This window comes from Homo sapiens, chromosome 4 (genome assembly GCF_000001405.40).
Source record: "Homo sapiens chromosome 4, GRCh38.p14 Primary Assembly".
In the NCBI taxonomy this organism is placed as follows: domain Eukaryota; kingdom Metazoa; phylum Chordata; class Mammalia; order Primates; family Hominidae; genus Homo; species Homo sapiens.
Genome location: NC_000004.12, coordinates 143,381,851 through 143,407,698, shown reverse-complemented (window position 1 = coordinate 143,407,698; position 25,848 = coordinate 143,381,851). Strand labels below are relative to the sequence as shown.

Sequence of the window (25,848 nt, the reverse complement as noted above, 5' to 3'; positions counted from 1 at the left end):
CTCTATCATTATGATCATCTGTTCCAAACACACAGAAGCCTAAAATTTCCTGTTTTCAAACTGTTGTCACCATTTTCTAGCCTTGTGCTATCCGAGCTAACTTTAGCTTAGTAATATAAACAAAAGAATACACTGAAAATAATGCAGAACAATGCCTAGATCTAAGCTTTCAACTGTTCCATAAACTTAAGATATTAGAGTTTACGTACATTGCCTGGATACAACAAATTAGTTGGAAATAAAACAATTTCATAAGAGGAAAAAAATCAAATTTGACTCAGAAATACTATACTAGCTAGGGAAAGAGTTCAGGAATTTTGAATTCTCAGTAATAGTGCATATAATTTACTTGTTGAAATTACTGCTAAATTAATGCCTACCTCAAAGCCTAGGCATAAGCACTACATAAAATAAACAAAAAGCCAAAAAAAAAAAGCAATGACAAAAACCCCTTAGTATTTAATATACATAGGTGGTTCTTAAACCTTTTCTGGGTCATAGACGGCTTTGAGCATCTGATTAAAGCAATGAAAACTTTTCTTAGAAAAAAGGTATATAGGTAATATTGTATAGTTTCAAGGTTTCACAGGACCCCTGTTAACACGTTAAGAACCCTGAAAATAGGACTTGACTTTAATACATCTTACTACAGAGACAATTTGGTATGAGGCTGGTCTGCCTTGGACCCCAATTAGGTAAATTTATTTATTAGGTTCCACAGGAAAGTATGTCACCTCATGGCTGTATTAATTCTAAATACAGCACTGTGGGGCAAGCTAAGTATATTTTTACTTGAAAGTACCATTTCACTTCTGTCCTCATATTCCCAATTGTTGGGGCTGTGCCCACACTCTAACTCTGGTGGTTTTGCAAACTTTCTTACCCTAACCAAGAGGAGACGGAAAAAGTGAGAAACTGGCTGGGAGCCAAACAAAGTTAAACATGCAATGTTCCATGTGAGTCGGATGGTGCCCTGGGGTGACCCACAGCTGTGTGTACTGGGAAGAAAGGCCACTGGCCTTGGGTCCACTGGATCTCACCCTTTTCTTACCACCATGTGCAGTCAGAGTCAGTGAGCTCAGGTCAGGATGTGGGCAGAGGAAAATCGGGACACAGAGTTCACTCCATCTTTTGAGACTGGCTTTTGGCCTACTTCTGGCCAAGGCTCTGTTAGTTGGAGTTTACATGCAATCTGGCCAGCTAAAGATTTGGAACACAAGTTGCAGCTAGTGAAGAACAAGTCTTTGGCTCATCTCCCTAAGAACTTGCGGAGGCAGAGGTGGTGCAAATGTCCAGGCAGACTCCTGCCAGTCTAGCTGAATACAGCAAAAAATGCAATAAAGAACCATGAGCACTGCCATGAGCTCCAAAACATGTCCACAGTCATTGAGCCATTAATTCCATTTCTACGACTCTCACCTAAGGAAATAATGAAAAAAAAAATGTGGCTAAATACCTAGGCACCAAAATTTTCAGCACAGTATTGTTTCTGTAAGTAAATATTTGAAATGATCTAAATATTCAGTAGAAGGTAGGATGATCAACTATCCCAGTTTTCACAAGACTATCCTCGTTTTAGCTCTGCAAGTCCCACATCCTAGAAAATGGCTCAGTCCTGGGCAAACCCAGATGATTAGTCACAGTAGGAAACTGAGTAAATAAACGATGATATACCACCATACAGGAGTCTTACACAGCCATCAAAGTGATGCTTAGGAATGGCTTTTTTTTTTAAAGAGTTTTTTTTCTCCCCATGGTTTGCAAAATTCCCAAAATACTGAGAGATCATGGCAAGAAACTCATCTTTTCCATTTGGAGTAGATGGAATTTGGTGTGAAGGAATATTGGCAACACCTTTCTTTCTGCAAATTCTGGCTCCCCTGTCACCTCGGCCAGGTCAAGCTGACTACTCCAAGATGTCCACAGTACCTTGTGCAAACCTCCATCATAGCACTCTACCTTGGCATTTCAATCAACCCTTTGTACAACTGCTTTCCTCCCCCAAGATTCTGTCTTATTTCTCTTTAAGTGTTCAGCATAGTGTACAGCATGCAAGGACTTGGTGGTTAAAAGGCATGGGTGATAACTGTTGCCTGAATAAATGAACAAATGAATGAATGTCTTAATTCATTTGGTAATGATGCTGTCTCTGTTCTTCACTAACTTGGCCTTCAGGTATAATGGATGATACAACAAACCAATAGTGGGTTTTCTTATTGTTGTAAGAATTCAGCCATAAACTCTCAAATCTCCAGCCCACAAGGCTCAGTGAACAAAAAGTGAAACTAACTTAATCAGGGAATAAGTCAATTATGAACCCTGGGACTGAAACCGTGCCAATATGTTAATATTAGGAACCTACAACTTCACAGTGCCTACTATGAGAAGGCCCACACATTTCAGTCATTGAATATTATGTTAGCATTTTTATGTATATATACACAGTTACATAGTCTCTCTCTCTCTCTATATATCCATACATTTGTGTGTATGTGTGTGTGTAATGACTTCCCAGTCTCTCAGAGGGTAGAATGTAACGTCATCACAGAGAATAAGAACAAAATGGCATATGCTATGAAGTATAATGTCAATGTCCATTTGATGTTTAATAACGTCTTGTTTAAATAAAGAACAAGACCATGAAAAAATAAATATTGTTTATGCAGTAGAAAATTCATGTTATCTCTCAAATTAAAGACATAAAATTTTCCTGCACAGAGGCAAATTCTAATTGCAGTTTTGGAGCAGTGCTGTCCAACAGAACTTTCTGTGATAATGGAAATGGCTGTGCTGACCATCACAGGATCCATTAGCCAACATGTGACTACAAAACTTGAAAAGTGGCTGATGCAACTGAGGAACTGATTTTCTAACTTATTTAATTTAAATTTAGCCACATGTGGCTAGAAGCTATCATATGGACAATGCAGTTGTTTTGTTTTCAGTTTTGCAACAGTGTCTCGCTCTGTTGCTCAGGCTGTGTGCAATGGAGCAGTCATGGCTCATGGCAGCATCAACCTCCTGGGCTCAAGCAATCCTCCCACCTCAGCCTGTCCAGTAGCTGGGACCACACGTGCATGCCACCACGCCTGGCTAACTTTTCAATTTTTTGGAAGAGATGAGGTCTCAGTGGGTTGCCCAGGCTGGACAGTGCAGTTTTAAAGGATATTTCTTCAACTTAAGAGACAAGCAAGATCAATTGCTGAAGCAGGTACAGCTTTAATAATAAAATCCACAACAAATATTTAAATTGTGTAATGCTACTGTAAGCAGTTGTGCCTGAGATCCTAACAAGCATGTGGGTCTATTTCCTAGTTTCACTGTGTTCCACAAACTTACTCTACCCTAAAAATGTGTCCCATATGTTGTTATTGTCATGATTAGGAAAGGAAATGGTTGCTTAAATAAAACTGATCATTAATAAAATACGCCAATGACAATCTAGAATTTTTCAATGAAAATTTATCTTCAAAAAATGTACTGATTCTAAATTCCATTTCTTGTTCAGCTATCCAATCCAAAATAATTATTTCTGGGTTAGAACTACTGTTTTGAATTTCCAGCAAAACAAAACATTCCCATTTTCTTTTCTTAGTTTCTTATGAAACATTCACAATTTACAACAAAATAAAACACTGCTATATTAAGATTTGGATCACTGTTTAAAAACAACACTTTCACATTAAGAACTAAAGGGAAAGCACTGAAGTGTTACAAATCAAATTTCAAATTTCCATAATTAGATTTATATGTAAAAAGCCAAAATAACGCTTAAATATCATTTTCTTCTTAACATAAATCTCAGTCTAAAGCTTCCAGAACAAGATATATGGCAATGAAAAGTTTCTTTAGAAAGACATCCTTCCAAAGAGATAAATTATGCCTTCTGGAGCTACTGACTATAAACTACATTAAGTCCAATAAGCAAGAATGAATAACTTCATCTAAAGAGAAGGACTAAGTACAAGGTTGAATGCAAGATAAAAATTATGGCACAGATAATGAAATCAAGATCTCTGATGCAAACGTGGAAGGCTCAGCCCAAGTGCCAATAATGACATCTTCCTCTTTCCCCATGAGGGCTACGGGTGTCACCCTTTCATAAAACACGATTCTTGGAGGAAAACGATTCTTCATGCATGCACCATGCAGATAATGATCTCACCATACAAGAAAGACGATTGCCTATTTATTTCTTTTTGTTTTCAATAAATCCAAGTGCCATCTTGCCCATTTTATGGTGTTTTGCCCCTAAAATGAGCCCAGCTTTCTTTTTTCTGTCAACTTTTCATCTCCCTCTACACTACCCAAGCCTCATAACCTTCGGTCAACAGGAAATAGATACAATGGACTGAAAATAACAGCGGCTGTAAGGATTTGTATTGTATATGCATGATTTAATGCTTGAGGACAAGGAGAGAAGTGTTGAAGGAAAAGAGAAAATAACTAGCTACTTCTGCCAGAGAAATAACAGTGCCATCTGGCAGGACCCAACTCATCTTGAGCTCCAAGCAAAATTGTTACCAGTTCATAAAAGCTTAAAAACAAAAAAAAAAGAAAAAAGAAAACAAGTACACTATGTATAGTAATACAATCACCCATATAGATAGATTAGATAGACCATGTGCAGTTGACACAAGATAACTTACACACTCATCTGCTTTCAACATGTTAGAAACCCAGTGAGACAACCAGAGTCATTCAGAAAGTGCTGGCATCTGAGGTAACAGACAACAACCGACTGTGTCTGACTTGCCAACTTGGAAGTTCACTAAAGTCTGTAAAAGCTAAAAATAACCACATAAACATGTTTACAGCAATTTAAAAATACAGGATCTGCACTGTCTTCTAAATATAAACCTTCAGTTTGGAGCACAGGGATTGGCTTTGGGTTTTCAGAGATGTCATCTGGACATCCCACATTTCACCACAGAATTTCACATTTCAGTATTTTACTTTACATATCCAATTGCTGGTATTTAACTAGAACGAAGAAGGGTAGAACAGGGAAAGGTGAACAGGAAAGGAAAAGATGGTACCTATTCCCCTATTTAATTAGAGGGCTTCAAAATACCACAAATCTCCAACCCTTTGTGATGGGACCTGACCTTCACGAAATTCTGAAGGAAGTTATTTGGCCTGTATTTTTCCACTCAACACATCCCCTCTCTAATCCAGTGATCTCTTCCCCATTCCTCATTCCTAAGACTGTACATGCTGGTGAAATAGAGAAAAGGAGACCAGAAGTCAAGTGGAACACAGATATATATGCTATGAACACAGATAAAAGTCCTCATATCCCAGCTGGTACAGAAGGGTAGGCATGTTAAAGACAACAATTCTATTTATTGTTCTGTTCCTGAAAAAGCTAGATAATTCTAAATCAAACACAGGGAAAATTTTCCAACTAAAATCCATAATGCTTCAATCAACCTGGATCGCCTAGGGCAGTTATACTAAGATTATTAAGGATTCAAAGGAACATTTTATTAGTGTAGACAAAAGCCTATTTGGTCTCTATAATTTATGCGAAGTTATTCTTAGATATTAATTTTTGGATAGCATTGGTTTAAATTTTATCTCGTCTTTAATTCTAAGAAATCTTAAAATTCTAGCAGCTGTTAAAGAGAAAAAAAAAACCCTGCAAACATAAACTTAGCTTATACTTGTATATCATAAATTTTAAATGTCTGTGCCTCTTAAAGTACTGTGGTGGAGTCTATTATTTCTGAAGGTTGCCCAATATCCAAGGAAAGTGTTCTCCAGAAAAAAATCATGTAAGCTATATGGGCATTTACTTTAACAAATTTATTTTAAATAAATAACTAGCAACAACGTCAACTGAAAAGTGAAGGCGAAAATTATACATAATCTCGCCAGCATCAAAAAATCTATTTCTCCATATTCTCATCTAATCTTTATTCATATCATACATACTTTTAAGTAGCTAGTTTTTAAAATAAGGATGAATGTATCTTTGGTTTCAGGAGCCATACAACCTTCTGAGGCAGGTTTAAATTTTTAATTCCTTAATTTTCCACCTATTGTGACTTTTTCCAAGTCTTGCTTACCATGCTAGAATTACGGAGGGAAAGGTGAAGTCCTAACTGAAATGCTTCCTGAAACCCATAAAGAAAATGCATTTCATGATTATAAAAACACTAGATATTTATTTACTTTCTAACTTAACACAGCATCCCCAAAACATTGTAGCATTTAAGATATTTAATTATCACTCAATGAATGTTCTGTTAGGCCTTGCCCAATCTGGTACAGAATGCAGTTGATGCTCTAAGCAAATAATGACTAAAACAAATCTGTATAATCCTCTCAACAGAAATGTTATCACCTTGTTTACCAACAATTGCAATCTCACAGTGTGCAGAATGATTTATTAGATCTAACAGATGAATAATTTATTCCAAAAAAAGATCTCTTGATATTTCAATTTATGTTAAGCATTGTAACCTGAAGACAGTCTCAGAAAAAAAATTAGCTTAACTCCTAGGCAATTCAAGTGTTTATACTTTAAAACTTTACTAGACAATCTACTTATAGTTATCTACAAAGATAACTGTTCCAAACTAGAGAGAAAGTTGAGAAAACAAAACATCCGTAGTTAAAATAAATTTTATGATATAAAAAAGAAATAAAAACAAAAACACCGTTCTGTATTTTGTTGAATAACTGACCACAAAGAGGCAAAGCAATGACTTTTTTTTTTTTTTTTGTGATGGAGTCTTGCTCTGTTGTCCAGGCTGGAGTACAGTGGTGTGATCTCAGCTCACTGCAACCTCTGCCTCCCAGGTTCAAGTGATTCTCCTGTCTCAACCTTCTAAGTAGCTGGGATTACAGGTGCATGCCACCACACCCAGCTAATTTTCTGTATTTTTAGTAGAGATGGGGTTTCGTTATGTTGGCCAGGCTGCTCTTGAACTCCCGACCTCAGGTGATCTGCCTGCCTCAGCCTCCCAAAGTGCTGGGATTACAGACGTGAGCCATCGCGCCCAGCCAAGCAATAACATTTTCATTTAAAGATTCTGTAACCCCAGGTTGGCTGAAGTAAATACATTTTTGGTAACTGGATTTGATTCTTGCTGGAGCAAAGATAAAGGAAGAATTAAAAATAAAAAATAAAAAGTCTTCAGCTAGCCTCCCTAGACATGGCATAGATTAAGAAGGGGAGCTTATTCTCTCACAAGTGAAGCCCCAACTCCAGCTCCATATGGCATTCTAATCATTATGAGCTGTTATAAGGAATAATTAGAAATAAAAACCACCCAGCATTAGCCATCAAGAATTTCTTCCGTTTCCTTTCACAGCCTAGTCTTTTCACCAAATGGCTTAGGAGGCAGCCATAACCACCCCCCTTTTCACACTCTACCATCCAGGCTCTTTCTCTTTGCTGCTCTGTTCTCAAAACTTGGACATGTGCCTGACAAAAAGTAGAGACTCAGGCCAGGCACAGTGGCTCACGCCTGTAGTCCCAGCACTTTGGGAGGCCATGAAGGATGGATCATTTGAGATCAGGAGATCAAGACCAGTCTGGCCAACATGGTGAAACCCTGTCTCTACTAAAAATACAAAACAATGAGCCAGGCATGGTGGTGCACACCCGTAATCCAAGTTACTGGGGAGACTGAGGCATGAGAATCACTTGAACACCCAGGAGACGGAGGTTGCAGTGAGCCAAGATTGCGCCACTGCACTCCAGCCTGGGTGACAGGTGAGACCCTATCTCGAAAAAAAAAAAAAAAAGAGCAAGACTCAATTTAGTGTGGATGGGTAAACAAATGCTCCACGTAAGATAAACCCTATAGGGATCATCATTACAGTCATCAATACACAACTAAGTGTTCGTTATTAAGTGGTTCACTGGTAGACATACCAGAAAAACCATAAAAAATTACTATGACAATGAATTTTAAAATTACCATTTAACTTGTGGAAATATGTTTATATTTTAAATGTAAAAATAAGACTGCTAAAAATCACTTTGAGTGCCCTTATAAGAAGGATGAATGAACAGAAAGACTTCCGCCACAGTATAGAGAAGGAGCAGCAAACATGTCATGTAAATGTATACTGGATGCAGTGTATTGATATGGGTTTCTTTTCTTCTCTATTCTTTTGTCTGCCCCCTAGTGGAGTGTTTATGAGCAGGGAAAATTTCAAAAAAGGCAAGCACTGCCAACACGTGGGAAAACAAACAAAAACACAACAACAATATAAAACACAAAGCACAAAGAGGTTACCTGTAGTTTGAACTGCAAATCAGTCACTCAAAAATAGAAAGGTTACTTGTGAATTCCTATTAAACCCTTTTGTCCTAAAGCCAAAACTTTTGTTTCAACTTAGGTAGGTTTAACTATTTCCTTGTGCACCTTTGGACTTTTGATCATTGCCTTTTAAGGAAAAGCTGACATCTTTGATTGCATCTAGGTAGTATATTGCTTTCTTAATATTTAAGAAGACAATTTACTGGCTGCTAGTTTCTAGACTGACATGGTCTGGCCACTTTACTTTTGGTTTTCAGATGTCCTAGACGTGAATAACTAAAACAAAATCATTTCCATAAAGACAACTCTGAAAATCTGAGAAATCATTTCCACAGTATTTCAAAATCAAAGAACAGGTAAAGTAAAAGACACAATGGTTCAGTGATGGCAGGTATGGCTGTGTGACTCCTATCAGAAAGCACACTCATCTAGATGGGGATCTTTCTATCTAGAAAGGGTATGGGTTTTGTCTGTCTCTCTTCTAAACCAACTGCCCATTTTACTTACTTACTTTTTTTTTCTTGTAAAGATGAGGTTTCCTCATGTTGCCTAGGTTGGTCTCGAACTCCTGAGCTCAAACGATCCTCCTGCCTCAGCTTCCCAAAGTGCTGGGATTACAGATGTGAGCCATAGCACCTGGCCAGCTGCCCATTTTATACTGGAGTTTTATACTAACATATACAGTTATTTAAATATGAAGATAACAGACACTACAACTAATTTATGTAAACAACCAATCAGATGACCCCCTCACCCACCTACCCCCTACCATGATTAGTGACATATATTTTCAAGACAGCCGGCCAGGGTTATACAAATGACACACACTGAAAAAAACATCAGAAAACCATCCCAAAAGGGAGATACAAGTAGTGGATATAGTTTCTGGCCTTAAATGATCCACTATTCTGTTTCTTGATTTCTAGAGCAAACAGAATGTGTAACTCATGATTATTACAAACAAAATGATTTGTAGAGGCAATTCTAGATTTTCTCTCATATTTAAGTACTTGAACATATAAAACTTCCCCCTGCAACAGCAGAAATTCTGCTTCTAAAAACTGTGTAAAAATCAAATGAGAGATCCATACAAAAAATATTCTGAAATGAATAAAGGTACTAAAATAAGCAGAGTTTATTTGCTTAATTACCATTTTAACACCCTTCATAGAAGTGCATTAGTATGGTAATTTTGGCAGGTTCTAAAAGCAGTGAGCTTCCAATGATTCATGACTACATCTTACATGTATATAGTATCAGCTTATAACACCCTCACCAGCTTTTTCATGGAGGAAAGAGAGTAGTCTGAATCAGAGTAGATGAAGTATTCAAAGGTTTATTTTAATAAGCAAATGCTCAGGATATAGGAACCCAGGACTTGAATTTGTCTGTTCTCAGACTGCTGTGAATGCTACGGAAGATGGGAGGCATGAGGAATGAGCCTACATCTATCTTCCTCTGTTCATTTATCTTTTCCCTTTGGACAAAACCCTTCAGCCACAGGAAGTATCAAGGAAGACAGAATAAAACTCTTCTGCTTCTAAGTCCTTTTCCCTGTCTCTGCCATTGCTCATATCTCCATTAGAAAGGCAAGAAAAGTCAAATTTCATGCAGGGACCTTGGAAAGATATATTTTAATTATCAAGGTTCATATGTCAGGAGGAAGAAAGTGGGGGAATTTCACAGCTCTCTATACTTGGATATGGATGCTTGGGTTGATTTTTAGCCCTTGTCTGTTTTACTGCCAAAGTATTTATAGAGGGTAAAATAGCTCAAATAATTTGTTTTCTTAAAATTTACTATATTTAGGTAATGACATCACCACTAAGTTTTAAATACACTAACATTATGATATAATCCTTAAAGTATGTTTATACATATAATTTAATGTTTTGGAGTCTGTTCAAATTATTCATTAAAATGAGTAACAGGAACAAAACAACGAAGCAGCAGCTGTTTCATCTGTACATCTGATTTGTAGCATGTAGTGTATTTATAGTTAAATAGAGCAAAATGGGCTACTCAAAAGAATTGTTCCCACTCCCAAATAATTAACTATATTGTAAAAATGCCTGCAGTATCATTATTAAAGAATTAAGTTTATACAAGCAGGATTAACCTTTTTGTGTGCTCTGAAATTAAACTTATAGCATTAATCACAATGTGTAATCATTTTTTTGTTTGTTTTTTGCTAGTTTTGGTAGCATCTTGTCTTTCCAATCAGACTATAAGCTACTTGACGGCAGAGATCTTGCTCAAGTCACTACTGGTCCACCAAGCTCCTGTCACATTAGATGAAATAGTAGGTGCTAAATGCAAATATTTACATTAAAATATTCCATCTCCCTGCAAGAGATTATCAAACTGTACAGAACAGTTTATCAGGCAACACGATCACCCCAACCCAAGTTCTACCTACCTTCCCTGCTGGTTATTCTTCTCTTACCCCTCCCTGCTTTACCTAACCCCCACTCACTCTCTGCCTTTCTCTGTGTTTGGGCAGAAGTGGGAGCATTTATTCCCTGTGCTTCCAGCAGGGGCTCCTTACATCCCTGACCACTGCACCCTTGAGTGGCCACTCTTCCACTGCCTCAGTGCTCAATAAGCCTGTGTACAGTTTTTAAAATTAGTATTTATTATTTCTTCCTCTGTCCCTCAACCCCAAGAATGTAAACCAGCCCATAATACCATAAGTAGTCCATTCATTAAAGTATGCATTTGAACCATCTGGGCTGAATCCAGTCTCTTATCAGGACACTGAAAGAGAAACCCCATATTTCCAAATAATATGCTTATATATGACTTACCTCTTTTAGATCTACTGAAGTCCTGTCTTGACATCTCACTTTCCTGCTTTATCCCAATATAGTGGCACCACATATTCCAGTCCCTCAACCAGAATGACATTAAGCCACCCGATCGAGCTGCTATTTTTAATCAGTCTTAGAGTGCATCTTCTAGCTCCTTGGAACAATCAGTTTTCATCCTTTCCCCCCATCTCTCCTCATGCCCTTCCACTGCCTAATTTCCATCTGCTGTATCTATAGTTTACATTTTCAAGGTTTATAACATTTACAGTCTGTTCTGTAACCAGCTTAACTTTCTATTGTTTTTCACTCCAAAGGGTGAGTTAAAGAGCTTAAAACCAATAAACAGCATTTACACTATCATGGCCATGGATGAGTCTTTCCTTAAGGTCCCAAGTAGGGCTAGGAGTACATTTGCTTCTCTCCTTGTCCAGAGTCAGGGTCACTACCCCATGCCATTCGGCGGAGAATGCTCCTAGGGTCAAGTTTTAGTGGATTCTCCTTTCTTCACCTCACCAACTACCTTTATCAGATCTTCAACTTTCCCCAAGCCTCCCATTACACTTCCTGTTGTCCCCACCCCCTCCCCTTTCCTGGGTCCCCTCTGCTGGAATCCTCCCCACCTCATCCATATGCCCTCTCCTTCAACAGGAATGGGTGCTGACAAGACTGGCACACAAATTTCATCCTGCAATTTCCTACGCTGCTCTCCCGGGGGCGGGGGGCGGTCCATCAATCTCGACAAGCTGTGCCTTCTTCTTTCTTCACTTACTCCTCATTTTGTTACCCCCAAGTCCTTAGAAAGGGTATGTGGAGGGATATGCTTTAAAAGAAGGGGCACAGCATAATGGCTAATAACAGAGTTCTATAATTCACCTCATTTAAAAGAACATGGTTTCAAAACTTCATATTTATTATAATGCCCTTTTATAATAGAATAAAGTGAACAACATTTTACAAGCTCTCACAAACATTTTAGGGAGAGTTACAACTAAAGGTCTTTAATTTCCAGAGTTATTTGCATCTAACAATCCTATCGTTCACCATTTAAGCTGCAAAAATACTAATCCACGAAAACATGGATTTTGTGTTCAAGGTCCCTTTTAATGTACTCAACTGTGTTATCTGTTAGATAGAACTCATTCAAATTTTAAAATACTCTTTTTACAAAAAGAAATAAAAAATGCCATCAACTGGCAATTTGTATGTCTCTGGAAAGGATAGTTCATTAAAAAATAAAGATTACATTTAACCTGTTCATTCATTCACTTATTCAAAAATATTTATTGAATATTTATTGAACATGTTCCACTGTTCTAGCCGCTGGAGGGATAGTGGTTCCAGAAACAAAACTGTCTACCTCAGCAAACTTAAATTTTAGTGGAGGAAGACAAAAACAAACAGGATTAATTTTAGAATTCTATAAATGCTAAAAATTAAAACTCAAGTTGATCTGAAAGTCCTAACCTTATCTAAACAATTCAAAAGACATAGGGAACTGTTATAACACTCTCATGCGTTTAAGTAGTAAACCACCACTATTCTTAACACAGTCCCTATGGGCAATGACAATGATCAAGCTCTTAGGATCAAATCCTGGTAGCTGTACAGGCTTGAAAGCCCTGCAATCTTGTCCTCTCAAACATCTCCATCAGCTAATAAGATGAGGTAATCAATGTGCAGCTTTACTGTGTAATCTTCATGCAAAGCCATTACTTGAGTCCCCTGGCATCATCAAATACCCATCCTAGAACACTCATCACTCCAGTCCAATATCCATCAACAGAATAAACAACCTGAGTACAAAAGAAGGAAAAAGAGAGAATGAATTACACTTCATTAAATTTTTTTCCTGTTTTTTAACCATCGTCTACATTTTGTAAATAATTAAGTTTGTCCTTTCCCTACTTGAAAGAACAAGCAGAATAAAGAAGTATTAAACATGAAGAAACATATTTAGGAACCCAAAAAATGTTTGATGATGATGATGAAACTAAGTGGCTAAGGGGTACAGAATTGCTTGACCTAAAAATAAAGATACAAAATATGATGCTTTTGTATACATGTGATCAGTTTTCTGAGGGAACACAAGTTACATATAATGTATATTCAGTTAATATTACTTGATGATAAAAATTTATTTCTGCAATAGAAAATAAACAAGTCAGGCTTTTCTTCAAATGGAAGCATTTAAATTGGACACACAGATTAACTGAGGTGGGTTCCCAAGGGAAGGAGGGATGTCAACACTGGACTTCCTTGAAAAACCTCCAGCTTCCCTTTTGATCCGAATCTTTCTCCTCTTCTGCTGACTACCTTTTTTTTGTTTTGTTTTGAGACAGAGTCTCACTCTGTCCCCCAGGCTGGATGGAGTGCAGTAGCACGATCTCGGCTCACTGCAACATCCACCTCCCGGGTTCAAGTGTTTCTCCTGACTCAGCCTCCTGAGTAGCTGGGACTACAGGCACGTGCCACCATGCCCAGCTAATTTTTTTGTATTTTTAATAGAGACAGGGTTTCACCGTGTTAGCCAGGATGGTCTCGATCTCCTGACCTCCTGATCTGTCTGCCTTGGCCTCCCAAAGTGCTGGGATTACAGGTGTGAGCCACAGCGCCCAGCTGCTGACTACCTTTCTCATTCCTGTTTCCCCTTCCTTCTAACATTATCTTCCACATCTTTTATTTCCACTTTATTTCTTCTTATGCTTGTCCTAAGTATGTAAAAGGATCTTTGTGCTGTTTTTTAAGTGTCATTTAATTCAAAGAGCTTTGATTGTCCTTTTCTTAAAAAGCAGCTGTGGTTACAGTTTTTTATGTTTTCAAGCATTTTTTTACATTTGACTATGGGCCTCTCTTTTCTTTTTTGGGTAAAGCAGGCACCATTAAAAAGAAAATGACCCTCCACTCTTGATGCAGAAATCAGAAAAATGGTCTTTAATAATGCGGACACTCACCACTGGAAAGCCAAAATTAGTTTACATGATCTTTCAAGATTTTTTCCAATGCAATAACAATTATTAACATTTATTGAATACTCATTAAGTACCAGACATTGTTCTATGCACTTTATACATTAATTTAATCCTCATCACAGCCCTATGAGGTAGGCTGTAATTTATTCCCATTTATAGATGAGAAAACGAGTCACAAAGACATTAAGTAACTTGACTAGGTCATACTGGAAATAGTAAAGCCAGGATCTGAACCTAGTAGTCTGGCCTCACCCAGAGCCTGTGCCCTTAACCACTTAACACTGTACTATTTGTCTATGACAGAGGACAGCAAACCTTTTTGTAAAGGGCCAGATCATAAATATTTTAGGTTTTGTAGGCTACACACATGGTTTCTGTCTCATATTCTTTTTTTTTCTTTTTTTTTTTTTAAAAAAAAAAACCTTTGTAAATGTGAAAAACCTTCTTAAACAGTATCAGGCCCACAGGCCATAGTTTGCTACCCTGGTCTACAATTTTATCATTTCATATGAGCCAGTCTAGTATTTTTCATCTAGACAAATTCAGACAGAAGCAAAACTGAAAGATTCAATGTAAGCAGCTTACAGCCCATAGTCCACATGAAACAGTAAAGAAAATGCAAAAATCAAAATCAAAGAACTGCAGGTACTTTGTGGACATATACATGGAAATATAGCCCATAGACATGAAAAAGGTACTGCTATCACTAATAGAAAGTAAAAATCTCAGTAAGCTTTAACAGCCTAGTATTTCAGAAGTAAAAAACCTCAGATATCCATCTTCTTTACAGATGGATAGCTATATACGATAGTAGTTGGGCCCAAGTACTATTGTAATCTACTGAAACTGATGTATAGTAACAGCATCTGTATACCACACAAATGCATTCTTCTTCAAAGTCCCTTATAAATACAAATTCGTTGTTGCATTATCAAAATATTCATTATCTTCAATGTCAGAAACTAAAGAGTAGGTTATTAACTATTAACTTAGGACTCCTGAGGAATTCAGAAATCATAAAAATATTAATGTCATCAACCCATATTCTTTCTGGTCATCTGGCAAGGTCCTACTCTTAACATGTCACCACCACCACTTACCACCCTCTTAAGACTTCAAAACTTTTGAAGTAAGTTTTGGTAGGTTTCATGTATCTTACCACAATTTAATTGTCTTTTAAAAATCAAAAGCTCTATTTCAACAATGCAGCAATCATTTTGATGAACGCTATCAGAAAGTAGAAATTTAAGCAATTTATATTGGCTTTCAACTCCACCACATCATATACTTCAATTGACAAATCCCCTCTCTCAGAAAGAATAACTTAGAAGAAAGCATTCTGATAGAATTTGTTCAAATTATATACTGTTAATTATTTTTACCATTTTTGTGGGGTAAAAATAAAAACTGGGGAAATAGACTCACTTCTACTTTCTTCCCTATTAACTTGGGACCATCTGTTTAAAATAACTGCAGCTATTTTTGGTAGTTAGGCAATGAACTACTTATAAAAACAAAAACAGATGCCTCCTCTTTAAGATCACTCCGTTATCAAACATCTGAGCATTACTTGCACACAAAAGCATGTAGTGTATGTTACTTGTCAAGAATAAAATCGCAGATTTTAAAACATACCATGTGGCAGCTCAGGACATTATTTCATTTCTTATAATTGTTTTCAACAGTTGCTAAAAACACAAGAATAAAGTAACGTAAGGAGGTAATTCATATATGTATTTAAAAATATCTGTTATAACACTAGCTCTCTAACTCACAACTTGGCTGTCCTTAAGAATTTGGGCATTTCTTCTGCTGAGAAAAGTTGCTTAATAGTTAATTTTTACCTGAAATACTTTCTTCTGAATGCAGAAACTCGTGTATTTTACCTTTGTTTTTTCTTTGGCAACAGTGACAAATCAGATAATCTCAATGAATATCTATGCAGTTTTCCTCTTTACGTGGGACAAAGTTTATCTTTTAAAAAGAAAAGCCAAGATGAATGTTTTACCTGTGCAACTGCCCCCGCTTCTCTGTGCTTCTCTGTGCCCCCCGCCGCCTTTTTCTGTGCTTTGAAATAACTACCTTGCTCCCAAGAAAAAGTTTCTTCAGAAGCCAGTGTACTTTGTCCTTGCCAGGTCAGAGAAGGGGTTAAATTTATCTAACTGTAGTAAGCCTTTCTTGTTGCCCAGATGGCTGGCTGAGAGGAAGGAAGAGCATATAGCTAATTAGCATTCATTCCTTTTAATACATTCCCATCCCTTCTACTGCTTTTTGTCCACTCTTTCTTTTCTCCCTCAAGGTTTACCTTGATTTGAAGTTCAATACTTAAAAGACTCCCTTCCAAAAAATAAAAATAACACTTATGGGAGATATGTGCTATGTAGCACAAATTCTGTGTTACAGAAGCTCTTTGATTCCTCTTCCCCAGAACAAAGACATTTAGACTGTTACTTGAAATGTTATTTTTAAATAAATACATAATGGTTGCATTTATTAAGCACTGTGGGGCAGACCATTACCTGCTCACCCAAATCTGTTCTTCTGTTCTTCCACAATGAATGAATTGTAACTGAGCACATGGTCATCCAGGTAGAAATTATACCACTCAGCCTCTCTGGCAGCCAGATGTGGGCGGCCATGTGACTTAATTCTCCCCAGTGCAAAGTACATGGCAATGATGTGTGCCTTCTCTAGGACTGAGCATGAAGACATTGCGCATGCTGCCTCCACACTTCTTCCTGTCCCCTCAAGCTGGGACACAGACATACCTGCGACCTATCTTTGACTATGTAGATGAACCCTGAGATGTAGGAAGCATGGAGCAACAAGATGGAAGAAATCTGGGTGCCTGAATTTCTGCAAAGAACATGATTCTTTGCAAGCCTGGAATGCTTACCCTTTTATATGAGCAATATAAAAAAAGTTGTATGCCCTTTAATTCACTGTATTTTGGGGGCTCTTTGGCCCAGCAGCATAGGCTTAATCATAACTGGTATGAACACTATTATGTAGCACTGTTCTGGGTGTTTTACATGAATTATCTTATTAATGAGTCTCTGAGGAAAGTACTGTTACTATTCCCAGTTTCCAGGTGAAAAAACAAAGATTTGGAGGGTTGAGACAAAAGAGTAGTGAGGTTGGTAAAATAATCAACTGCAGGTCTCTATGATGCAAAGTCAAAAACCTAACCACTACACTAGTGTGCTTCCTAAAAAAAAAAAACAAAAAAAACCCTACTTATTACTTTACAAATTATCTCACTCTAATTGAGATTTTTCTTCGGTGGTATCTCTTATAAACCCAGAGCAGAAACATTATGAGCTCAAAATTAAGGGATATAAATTATATTTGGTTTGCCCACAAACACCCTTAATCTTATTATTAGCTGAACACCTAAATTTGTGTTAAACTCCAAAACTTTGAAAGAAATCAGACTGCAGGCCAATGAGAAACAGCTTAGTGGATGAAACTTTTTACTCTACTTCTAAAATTCTATTCTGTTGCACACAAGGCCTAGATCTGTACCTCGAACCAGCACTATGAAATACTGGATTATTAATTCAAAATGAACTTACTTTGGCTGTGTCTAATATTATGTTTATTATGAAAGAGCCTGTGAAACACTGTTACACAACACTAGGGTTCTTCTTTTAGTAATATGAGGACACACACCTTCACTCCTCCCAAACTTTTAAAGCTAAATCCAGGAGAGGTGCCAGTGAGGCATGTATTGAAGGGGGCTGGCAGAGTCAAGTGAGGAAGGGGACTGGAAGATAAGCTTCTTTTGTCTTTACATCTTTAAAAAATCATTTTGCTTAAGAATCTTTTCATCTTCCAAAAAGCTCTTATAATTAAGTGCCAGAATCCACTTATTTAGTCATTCAACAAATATGTACTGAGCACTTACTGTTTGATGAGTACACTGCTAGACACTGGATATGGAATAGTAAACAAAAGTAGAGTTAGGAGAGGGAGGTGAAGCAGTAATGTTCACACAATGGTCATAGTTTTTATCTTGAGTAAAAATTCCAGAACAAATTGTCTTATGCTTTAATAACTTCAAAATGCATAAACCACAAGAAAAGAGACCCCTGCACTTTCCCTCCTTATCTCTTAGACATCCCTAGGTCAGAGGGGTCTGGAAGCACTACTATATTTTATGCTACAAGCGCCTGCTGTTGAACTCACAGGTTCAACTCCCGACCACACTGCCTACTTAATATCTTTCCTACCAATCCTTTCAATTTTTCTAAATACACATTTGAAATTCATGCTCATCCATCTGCTTCCCAACATTGCCACCAATCTCACTAGGTTTTAATTAAAAGGAGATGAGTGAATGACATAAATTCTTTTCCAGCATACGCAAGTATTTGATTATATACATTGGTCTCCTCATTCTATGCTTGGTTAAAAAGACAGAGGAAGGAAAAGGATGAGATTGGTACTCCATAAGCTAAATCATTCCTATAAAAATAAAAGCTCTTCTTACATTTGATTACCAACTGCGGAAAGATGAAGCTGTGAAAATACCACCTTCTGTGAGTATAATGTGAGTGATTTTAGATGGATCTTTGTGCAGTCAGGTGTGTCCCTGGCAGGCTGGTGTAGAAAATGCTCCAATCCTTCTCTGCAGAGTGGACTGGGCAGTTTTCCTGCAGGTGGCCCACCTCTTGCACTCACAGGGGTTTCTGCCCACATGCTCCTCCTTATGCCTTGCAAAAGCTCTGCCTGATTTCTGGCTCAGCCTTGGCTTTTCAAGGAACTGTTTAAAACTTCTAAATATGAATGTATTTAAATACTGCTTCAGGTCTGAAGAAAACAGTTAAATAGATTTTTTTTTCTTTTCTGCTAAAAACTACCTAAAAATTGGTGTTTTTAAGATCTTAAGTGGCATTTATTTTCAACACAATTATTAGAACTCTAGGCCGGGCGCAGTGACTCATGCCTATAATCCCAGAACTTTGGGAGGTGGAGGTGGGCGGATCACCTGAGGTCGGGAGTTCGAGACCAGCCTGGCCAACATGGTGAAGCCCCATCTCTACCAAAAATACAAAAATTAGCTGGGCGTGTTGACGCACGTCTGTAATGCCAGCTACTCGGGAAGCTGAGGCAGGAGAATTCCTTGAACCTGGGAGGTGGAGGTTGCAGTGAGCCGAGATCGCTCTACTGCTCTCCAGCCTGGGCGACAGAGCGAGACTCTGTCTCGCACACACAAAAAAACCTCTATTTGCATTTGCACTTAAATTCCTCCAGGTGTTAAGTTACATTTTTAGTGAAACACACTAAATTGTAGGTAGCACTGTTTGTAGACACCATCATTGCAACACTGATCAACAAAATAGCCACTAGGCACCTACTAGATGAAACTGATCAGTCAGATCTGGACTTGGCCTCAGATTCTTTCTCTGCAAGAAGATTAGAAACATACATGGAATAACTATAATCCCACACAGAAAGCAGTAAGTGCCTTGGGAGTTATATATAGTACTTGGTATAATTAAAAAAGGGAGCATTCAAAAAGGGAGCGCTTATCCTTAGGTTGTAAGGGAAGGGGGTAGGGGCTGGAGAGGGAAATACAGATGTAGAGAGATGCCAAAACAAAGTCAGAAACCCCCTCTGCCCAGCCATGAATGTTCTACCATGTGCTAAGCCATAGTCCCAAATCCCCAAACCCTTTGGACAGAAGCAAGGAGACAACAGCAAATACGTGGTGGTGGCAAAGTACAGCGCAGGCACAAGGTGTTTCTGTTGGGCTGGAATCTAGGGTGTGTGTAAGACTGTGAAGGAAGACAGGATAGGATCAAGATCAGGATCAAGGAGCGGGAGGACCTTAGAGGCTTGGCTTTACTGAGTAGGTAACAGGGACTCCTTGGAAGTTCTTGAGATGGGACTAATATAAGAGCCACACTTAGAGGAGGTGACTGTGGAGGAGGGTGAATGTCCAGGCAGGGAGACCCGTAAGAAGTCAATGGGAGGAAAGAGTCTGACCTACAGGGGTGGCACTGCTGATAAGCAAGAATCGAATGCAAGACAGAGCAGTGAGCTGCAGGAAGAGGGAAAAGTCCAGGAGTTAGGATGCTCCACTTTAAAGATGGAAGCTCACGTCAGTAAGCAGCCTTCTGTGCCTTCATCCCTTTACCTCCACCAGGCTACTTCATGCCTGGCTCCTCAAATCTGTCCCTGAACATTGCTTCTTCAACAATCACTTGCCAGGCATGGTGGCTCACGCCTGTTATCCCAGTGCTTTGGGAGTCCAAGGCAGGTGGATCACCTGAGGTTGGGAGTTTGAGACCAGCCTGACCAACATGGAGAAATCCTGTCTCTATTAAAAATACAAAATTAGCCGGGCGTGGTGGCGCATGCCTGTAATCCCAGCTACTTGGGAGGCTGAGGCAGGAGAATTGCTTGAACCCAGGAGGCAGAGGTTGTGATGAGCCAAGATAGCATCATTGCATTCCAGTCTGGGCAAAAAGAGCGAAACTCTGTCTCAAACAAACAAACAAACAACAACAACAAAAAACCAATCACCTGCATACCAACTCACTGCCCCATGGGCCACTAGTATGCCTAAGTACAAAGTTCTAACTCTACATTTCAAAGGCAGTGATTCACCCTTCTTATCATTCTCTTTACTGTGGCAGAGACTACCAGTTGCTCCTCCCATGTTCATTTCCCCATTGTCTACAGTAGACATCAACAAAAAAATCTTCTGTAAAGGGCAAGATAATAAATACTTTAGGTTTTGCAGGCCATATGATCTCTGCAGCAACTACATGTTGTGTATTACTAATCTGAAAATCCAAAATCTTCTAAAATCTGACACTTTCTGGGCACTGACACAACACTACAAATGAGAATTCACATACCTGACCTCATTTGACAGGTTGCAGTCAAAACACAATCAAAATTTGTTTCATATACAAAATTATTTAAAATATTGTATAAAATTGGGCCAGGCGCAGTGGCTCATGCCTGTAAACCTAGCATTTTGGGAAGGTGAGGTAGATGGATTGCTTGAGCCCAGAAGTTTGAAACTAGCCTGGGCAATGTAGCAAGACTTCATCCCTATAAAAAATCAAAAAATTAGTTGGGCATGGTAGTGCATGCCTTTAGTCCCAGCTACTGGGGAGGCTGAAGTGGGAGAATCACTTGTGCCCAAGAGGTCAAAGCTACAGTGAACCATGATCACACCACTGCCACTCCAGCCTGGGTGACAGAATAGGACTCTGTCTTAAAAATAAAAAATATTATTTATATAAAATTGCCTTCAGGCTATGCATATGGTGTACATGAAACATAAATTTCATATTAGACTTTACTCTCTTCTCCAAGGTATCTCATTACGTATTCACAAATATTCCAAAATCCCAAAAAAATCTGAAATCGGAAATACTTCTGGTCCCATGCATTTTGGATACTCAACTCTTCCACTGCCATGTGAAAGCAGGTAATTTATAAACAAATGGGCACATCTGTGTTCCAATACACTTTAATTTTTATTTATTTATCACTCTGTTGCCCAGGCTGGAGTGCAGTGGCGTGATCATGGCTCACTGCAGTCTTGACCTCCTGGGCTAAACTGATCCTCCCATCTCAGTCTCCCAAATAGCTGGGACGACAGGTGCGCACAGCCACGCCTGGTTAGTTTTTTTTAAATTTTTGTATAAACAGGGTTTCACCATGTTGCTCCGGCTTGTCTTGAACTCCTGGGCTCAAGCTATCCTCCTGCCTTGACCTCCCCAAGAGCTGGGGTTACAGGCATGAGCTACCATAACCGGCCAATACACTTTTATTTACAAACTATACTTAATTTGTAAATAATTTCTGGCTGGCTGACTTGGCACTCAGACCACTGTTTGCTGATCTTGTTCTATAGTAACAGAAGCTCTAGCAGGGTGTCTGCTGGCTAACATTTTATTTCCCAGCCTCCCTTGAAGCTTGCTGTGGTCATGTTCTGGCCAATAGGATGTAAATGAAAATGATCTGTACAACTTGTAGATCATCTCCTTTCCCTTGGGCTGAAATGAGATCATGGTGAGCCATCTTTGACTGTGAAGATGAGGGCAACTCTCTCAAGATGGCAGAGAAACGAGAGGAAGGAATTTTTCTATTGAAGTACCATGCTAGTCCTGAATCAGTATGGATCCCTTGAGCTCTTCTGAGAGGAGGAAAGCACCAACAACCTCTTAACTTGTTTAAGTCACTGTATTTTGGGCATCTTTTCATAAAGATTTGCATATTCGAGTTTAGCTCAGTACATGAGGCTGTAATTAATTCAGAAAAGAAAACACTGTTCCAGGGCTACAGACCCCCAGTGATCAATAATAAGCCTACACAGGGAGGTCAGATGACTTGGCACTAATCTATCATTTTCATAGGAACTAATTAATATCTAGTGAGGAACTAATAACTGTGCCACATACTTATATAAAATATAAGCTCTCACTTATGTTTTGAAGAATTATGATTATTTTTACAGAGGAGATTCAGAGAGGTTAAGAAATATGCCCAAAGTGATACTGCTCCTAAGTAGCTATGCTGATATATAAACTCAGGACACAGGACTCTCAGATATGTTCATTTCCCCAAATCAACTCCCTTGGGTCAAGGACAAGCCACTGTGTTATTACGAGTCAATGGCTCTGTGACTGTAGGTTTCCATTTTTAAACTGAAAACTGCCACTAAGATCTACTAACTAATGGCTCCCATTGGTTTAATTACCACTACCCTTTAAAAGCCAAGTAAACCAAAATGACACAAGGTTAAGTGACTTAGTCAGATTCCTTTGAAAGACTTCAAGGATGCCAAAATGTGGATTTCATCAGACAGCCCTACTAGCTGCCAACTCGGCCCCAGCTACTGCCATCACCTCCTCCTTCACTGCCCATTAGAAGTTAACTGCCTGGACACTTGCTACACCAGACTGAACAGAGCCTGCAAAAACTAGCTGCAAAATACACCAGCAGAAGGGAAGAGCTCTCCCCTCTCCAGGAAAGGGTGAGCAATCACCCTAACATGTGCTGTTGCCCCTAGTCTGTCGGGTGTAGCATTTGTCTCTGTTGGGAGCTTGGCATCGATCATGAGGACCATCTGGCTCCATTTCCCTGACGGCCACAGCCTTTCCTGTCCTGTACAGCCTGGAAACTCAAGGAAAGTCAAGTTCACCCTGAAATTATAGCACAGCCAATAGCACCAACTTACCATGGTAGATGAACCCCAAATTTGGTTGCAAAAAACTTTAACCTTACTTCAAATTTAAAGGAAAGAAATGTTTCAAAATTATTTCACTTTTTTAATGCGATAAAAGTTGATGTTTTGAAAACTTCATGAACAGCTAATTAAAAATTAATTATTATAACTAGTCATTGCTATACCAAGGATTATACAGCTGAAATGTTTTGTTATAGAAATGCAGCAAAGAATAAACAAGTCTATCTTGAATAAAGCACAAAGTTAGCATGTTCTCAATTTCCCTTTTAAGCCAATTATTTCTATAATTTAGAAGGAAGACCTTATCACCAAAGTGGACTTTTTAATTTCACATATCTTTTTTTTTTCTTTTTAGAGACAAGGTCTTGCTCTGTCACCCAGGCTGGAGTGCAGTGGTGCGACCATAGCTCACTGCAGCCTCAAACTCCTGGGCTCAAGCAATCCTTTGACCTCAGCCTCCTAAGTAGCTAGGACTATGGGAGTGTTACCACGCCCGGGTAGTTTTTTCACTTTTTTGTGGAAATAGCTCTTGCTAGGTTGACCAAGCTGGTCTCGAACTCCTGGCCTCAAGTGATCCTCCTACCTCGGCCCCCAAAAGTGTCAGAATTACAGGTGTGAGCCATTGTGCCAAGACTATTTGGCATATCTTGAACTTCTTCCAGAGCCAAATTATAATGGGTACAAAACTATGCAGATATTTAAAAGAAATATTTTTCAAAAATATTTGGGGATGTGGAAAATGTGCTCACATATATTGTTATGTTAAAAAAGCCAGTTTCAAAACAGTTTATAGTCACTCTTACAAAAGAATAACTATATATAGCTATATAAATATGTATAGAAAAATCAGTCTGGAAGTAAATACCTCAATATTTTAACAGCAGTTTTTCTCTGAGTAGTAGAGTTACAAGTAATTTTTCTTTTCTTACACTTCTCAGAATTTTCAAAATCTTCTACTATAACAAATGATAAAAGTATACATTTTTAAAGGAACTAAGCATAAAGAACATGACATTTAAGGCACAGCTTCCTCCTTTCATTGGGTTCTATAAGAGGACAAAGAATGTGGTTTTGGAAACAGCACAAGTTATTCTGTGTCCAAATCATATATAGAAATCTCAGAAACACACATTTTAAACTGCATGTCAAGTCTCAATGATCTGATGGTGGCCATTTCAGAAAGATCAGAGGGGTCCCATAACTTATGGAAATACAGAGCCTCTGGGGAGTGGGCCAGAGTCATTACAACACACAGCTATTATCTACATTTTATCTCCACTAAATTGACTTAAAAATGGAGAGGAGTGTGTGTGTAGCACTCAAACATCTGTGACATATCATTATGGAAGAAGAATATTTCTAGGAATTCTTATTCATAATTACTACTTTCAAACTGAGAAAACAGCAGAAAACAACTGTTAAATTAAAAAGAAGTGCATGCATGTCACAATTTAGTAATAGCCAAAGTCAACTAGAAATCAGTTTCTACTTCACAACAACAGTTACAAAAAACATAAAAATCCTCACGATTAGGGAACAGAGTCAGAATAAAGTTTAAACCTGGAGAACGTTACTTTCTCTGCACTCTCACCCATCATAAAGCATAACAGGGTCTGAGGCCACGTATTTACTTGCAGACATTGAAAAAAAAAAAGTCTTAACTGCTCAAGCTAACAAATCAGCGTCCTCAGTTTCACACTATTGGTCATATGATCCTCCAAGTGTTGTTTCTCAGACTTTCTCTGACAGTCTCTTCTTTCTTTAAAGCCAACAGATCAACAAAATAACCTCAACTAACCAAGCTCTTTCACTTTTTGAATGATGGAACCTCCTAACAGAGCAAAACAGGACTTTGAAGGTAGTATTTCAGGAAAAAGAGAAAGTAGGGAGTTTCAGGAAAATGTCTGATAAAATTCCATTGCTTTTCCAAAATAACAAAAGCATAGTTTCCCCAAGTCCCAAATACAAAAGCAAAGCAGAAAATAAAAGCAAGTTCTTTTTACACTATTCCTGAGGGAAACACACTTTCACTTGTTATTTCAATGAATACTTTCTCCACAGTATTATTTCATTTCCAAGAGAAAAAAATATATAGACTGAATAATCCCTAAATGTTTTAGAATATATCTATAATACCTAAACAAATATACAGCTTCACTGAGAAATTCTACCTGCCTTAAATAAATATTTAGTTAACCGAGGAAGAGATGTTTCAACAATGAAATAACAATGAAGAAAGTGCATAACAAAACAGCATTAGTCTGTCTAACCAAAGAATAAGCCAAATGACAGCCTGGCGGCATAAAGGTTGTAGAGTAAAAGAAAAAAATGCTACCAAGATACTGAATAAGATTCCAATCTATTAGTATAAAAATGATTGAGGAAAGCAAACACACCTTTCATGTGAGCGGCCTAAAAAGGCAGCTTCTCTGTACCTCTGACTTCCAACATCCTGTTCATGACTAGAGTCTAGGAAAGTAATATATGACCTCAGTAATGCTGGCCTGGCCTGCACCCAAGTCAGTGACTTCAACTGCTCCACATTAATAACAAAAGCCATACAGAGCGGACGTGCA

The 25,848-nt window shown here is 38.2% G+C and overlaps 1 protein-coding gene across 16 annotated transcripts in view, besides 3 other annotated features; it reads right to left on the bottom strand.

Moving 5' to 3' along the window:
- GAB1 (GRB2 associated binding protein 1) overlaps positions 1–25,848 on the bottom strand; it is a 137,690-nt gene that overhangs the window by 66,867 nt on the left and 44,975 nt on the right. The window contains exons 2-3 of one of the 16 annotated variants that reach the window (XM_047449969.1): positions 16,067–16,255; positions 8,791–12,882 (exon numbers count right to left, since the gene is read on the bottom strand). The exons of 8 other annotated variants lie outside the window; for them this stretch is intronic. In XM_047449969.1, the coding sequence (XP_047305925.1) occupies positions 8,791–8,823 (33 nt within the window). In that variant the 5' untranslated portion in view covers positions 8,824–12,882; positions 16,067–16,255. Of the gene's footprint in view, positions 1–4,649; positions 4,809–8,790; positions 12,883–15,693; positions 25,737–25,848 lie in introns of those variants that run through there. 7 more of the 16 variants (XM_017007966.2, XM_017007968.2, XM_047449968.1 and 4 more) reach the window with 7 other exon arrangements.
- Positions 2,779–2,858: an enhancer, noted in NCBI's record as "active region_21945". NCBI's record gives its function as "activates an Ori minimal core promoter by ATAC-STARR-seq in GM12878 lymphoblastoid cells {active_cell/tissue: GM12878}" and the evidence as "EXISTENCE:reporter gene assay evidence [ECO:0000049][PMID:35858748]".
- Positions 2,869–2,988: an enhancer, noted in NCBI's record as "active region_21944". NCBI's record gives its function as "activates an Ori minimal core promoter by ATAC-STARR-seq in GM12878 lymphoblastoid cells {active_cell/tissue: GM12878}" and the evidence as "EXISTENCE:reporter gene assay evidence [ECO:0000049][PMID:35858748]".
- Positions 3,109–3,168: an enhancer, noted in NCBI's record as "active region_21943". NCBI's record gives its function as "activates an Ori minimal core promoter by ATAC-STARR-seq in GM12878 lymphoblastoid cells {active_cell/tissue: GM12878}" and the evidence as "EXISTENCE:reporter gene assay evidence [ECO:0000049][PMID:35858748]".